This window comes from Homo sapiens, chromosome 19 (assembly GCF_000001405.40).
Source record: "Homo sapiens chromosome 19, GRCh38.p14 Primary Assembly".
Classification (NCBI taxonomy): Eukaryota; Metazoa; Chordata; class Mammalia; order Primates; family Hominidae; genus Homo; species Homo sapiens.
In genome coordinates this window covers 53,877,787-53,881,093 of record NC_000019.10, presented here as the reverse complement: position 1 = coordinate 53,881,093, position 3,307 = coordinate 53,877,787, and positions in this window count along the sequence as shown.

The following is a 3,307-nucleotide window of genomic DNA, read 5'->3' as shown; positions in this document are numbered from 1 at the left end:
TCTCTCTCCCTCTTCTCTTCTCTGTCTCTGTCCCTTTCTCTCTGACCCAATCTCTCTCCCTCTTCTCTTCTCTGTCTCTGTCTCTGTCCCTTTCTCTCTGACCCAATCTCTATTTGTCTCTCTGGCTCTATGAATCTCTTTCTGTTTCTGGGGATCTCCCCGTCCCTCTGTGTCTGTGATTCACTCTCCCTGTGTCTCTGGCTCTCTGAATCTATTCATCTCTCTGACTCTCTGAATCTGTGTCTCTGGCTCTATGAATGTCTATGTCTCTCTGACTCTGAATCTGTGTCTCCGGCTCTATGAATGTCTCTCTATGTCTCTCTGACTCCCTGAATCTGTGTCTCTGGCTCTATAAATCTATGTCTCTCTGACTCTGAATCTCTCTGTGTCTCCGGCTCTATGAATGTCTCTCTATGTCTCTCTGACTCTGAATCTCTCTGTGTCTCTGGCTCTATGAATCTCTATGTTTCTCTGACTCTGAATCTCTCTGTGTCTCTGGCTCTATGAATGTCTTTCTATGTCTCTCTGACTCTCTGAATCTCTGTGTCTCTGGCTCTATGAATCTCTATGTCTCTATGAATCTCTGTGTCTCTGGCTCTATGAATCTCTTTCTATGTCTCTCTGACTCTCCGAATCCCTCTGTGTCTCTGGCTCTATGAATCTCTCTGTTTGTCTCTTTGGCTCTGTGAATCTCTGTGATTCAGGCTCTCTGAATCTCTCTATATGTCTATGAATCTCTCTGTGTCTCTGGCTCTATGAATGTCTCTCTATGTCTCTCTGACTCTCTGAATCTCTGTGTCTCTGGCTCTATGAATCTTTCTATGTCTCTCTGACTCTCCGAATCTGTGTCTCTGGCTCTATGAATCTCTCTGTTTGTCTCGTTGGCTCTGTGAATCTCTGTGATTCAGGCTCTCTGAATCTCTCTATATGTCTCTATGAATCTCTCTGTGTCTCTGGCTCTCTGAATCTCTGTCTCTGGCTCTAGGAATCTCTGTCGAGGGTCTCTAGATAGAGACTTCCCTCTCTGTGTCTCTGTGATTCAGTCTCTCTCCCTCTTCCCTTTTCTGTGTCTCTCTCTCTGTCCCCTTCTCTGACCCACTCCATGTGTCTATCTGGCCCTGTGAGTCTCTCTCCATCTCTGAGGTCTCTCCCTCTCTCCCTGTGTCTCTGTGATTCAGTCTCTCTCCCTCCTGTCTTTTCTATGTCTCTGTCCTCTGTCCTCTTCTCTGACCCACTCTACGTGTCTCTCTGGCCCTGTGAATCTCTCTGTCTTTGAGGTCTCTCCCTCCCTCTAAGTGTCTCTGTGATTCAATCCCTGTCTCCCTCTCTCTAGATCTCGCTGGCTTCGGCATCCTCTCTGTGCGCCCCCTCTCAGGAAAGGGGTCTCTCCAAGGGCCGGCGCGGTCAGTCTCTTCCGGCCTCCACACCTCTTGGTCGCTCTACCCGCGTCCCCGCCTCTCTCTGGTCGGGCTCTGCGCCTCCCCGGCTCGGGAGCGCTTCCCAGTCCCCGCTCCCGGGAGACCCTCTCTGTTGCCAGGGGCAACCACGGCCCGCCCCGGGCTGCGGGCGCAGTGCATTCTGGGACTGGTAGTCCGAGCCTGCGGACCAGCCACTCTCGGGACACGACCGAGAACTCCGCCTCCCGGCGTGCCCCGCGAGGCTGGGCGGGACGCTGCGGCGGCGCCTGGGAGGGACTCTGGACGCCCAGCTTACCTTCTCTGGGACTTTTCAGGGGTTCGGGGCGGGTTTCCTGGGATTCCCAAAGCCGAAGGGAAGGTGGGGGAATCCGAGTCCTCTTGTAACCACTCTCCCTAAATGTGGAGTCCACTGGCCTTCCAGCCACCTCCAGGTGACCTAGGGCGAAGGATAGGCGGCGGGGATGGCCCCGAAACCGACCTAGGAATCCCACCACGTTCTAGTCCAGTGTCCTTGAGTTCTTTCCCGAGTTAACCAACGTATCACCCCAGAGTTCTATAGCTGTTCTTTCGGATGCCTTCCAGAAGGGATTCAGGCATGGGATGGGAGAGAAGGGTGGGCGAGGCGTCCTTTAAGAAGACAGCGATGGAGTGGGTTGGAGCTCAAGAGTGGACGCTGCAGAAATGAAAAGGAGGCCTTTCCTCATCCAACGACAGTGTGTGCCCCAGCTGGCCTTTCCTTCTCCCCTTCCAGGGGAACCCTTCCCTCCCTTGCGGTATCTCTCCCCAATTGCTTTTGCGGATGTAGATGCAGATAGCGGGTTCTGTGATCATCGAATTTTCTTTAAAACTTTTTTTTAAATAGAGACGAGGTCTTGCTGTGTTGCCCAGGCTGGTCTTGAACTCCTGGGCTTAAGCGATCCTCCCGCCTTGTCCTCCCAGTGTTGGGACTACAGGCGTGAGCCTCCGCGCCGGCTGATCATGGAATATATATATATATATATATATATATATATATATATATATATTTTTTTTTTTTTTTTTTTTTTTTTTTTTTCAGACGGAGTCCCGCTCTGTCTCCCAGGCTGGAGTGCAGTGTGGCGCGATCTCGGCTCACTACAACCTCCGCCTCCCAGGTTCAAGCGATTCTCCTGCCTCAGCCTCATGAGTAGCTGGAACTACAGGTGCCCTCCACCACGCCCGGCTAATTTTTGTATTTTTAGTAAAGACGGGGTTTCACCATGTTGGCCAGGATGGTCTCGATCTCCTAACCTCGTGATCCACCCGCCTCAGCCTCCCAAAGTGCTGGGATTACAGACGTGAGCCACCCGCCGGGCCTGATCTGGGAATTTTGTAGGGCTTATATTTATTTGTGTATTTGTGATTCTCCTGAGGTCCGGGAAATATGTAGGCGGAGGATTACCTAGGTGCCCAGGCAAGAGACTGAAGGCACAAACTGTTTCAGTATAATAAACAAAATAGTTAGAATAAGAATAGTCATAATACAAATTAGATGTAGAGATGATCATGGACAATTATCAATCATTATTATAAACATTATTAATCATTAGCTTTTAATATTACTCTTTGCTGCATTACTAATGTAAGCTAGGAATAACCGGCAGGTATAGGGTCAGGTGCTGAAGGGACATGGTGAGAAGTGACCTAGAAGGCAAGAGGTGAGCCCTCTGTCACGCGCACATCAGGGCCGCTTGAGGGGTCCTTGGTCAAGTGGTAACGCCAGTGTCTGGGAAGGCACCCGTTACTTAGCAGACCACGAAAGGGAGTCTCCTTTCCTTGGAGGAGTCAGGGAACACTCTGCTCCACCAGCTTCTTGTGGAAGGCTGGATATTATCCAGGCCTGCCCGCAGTCATCCCGAGGCCTAAACCCC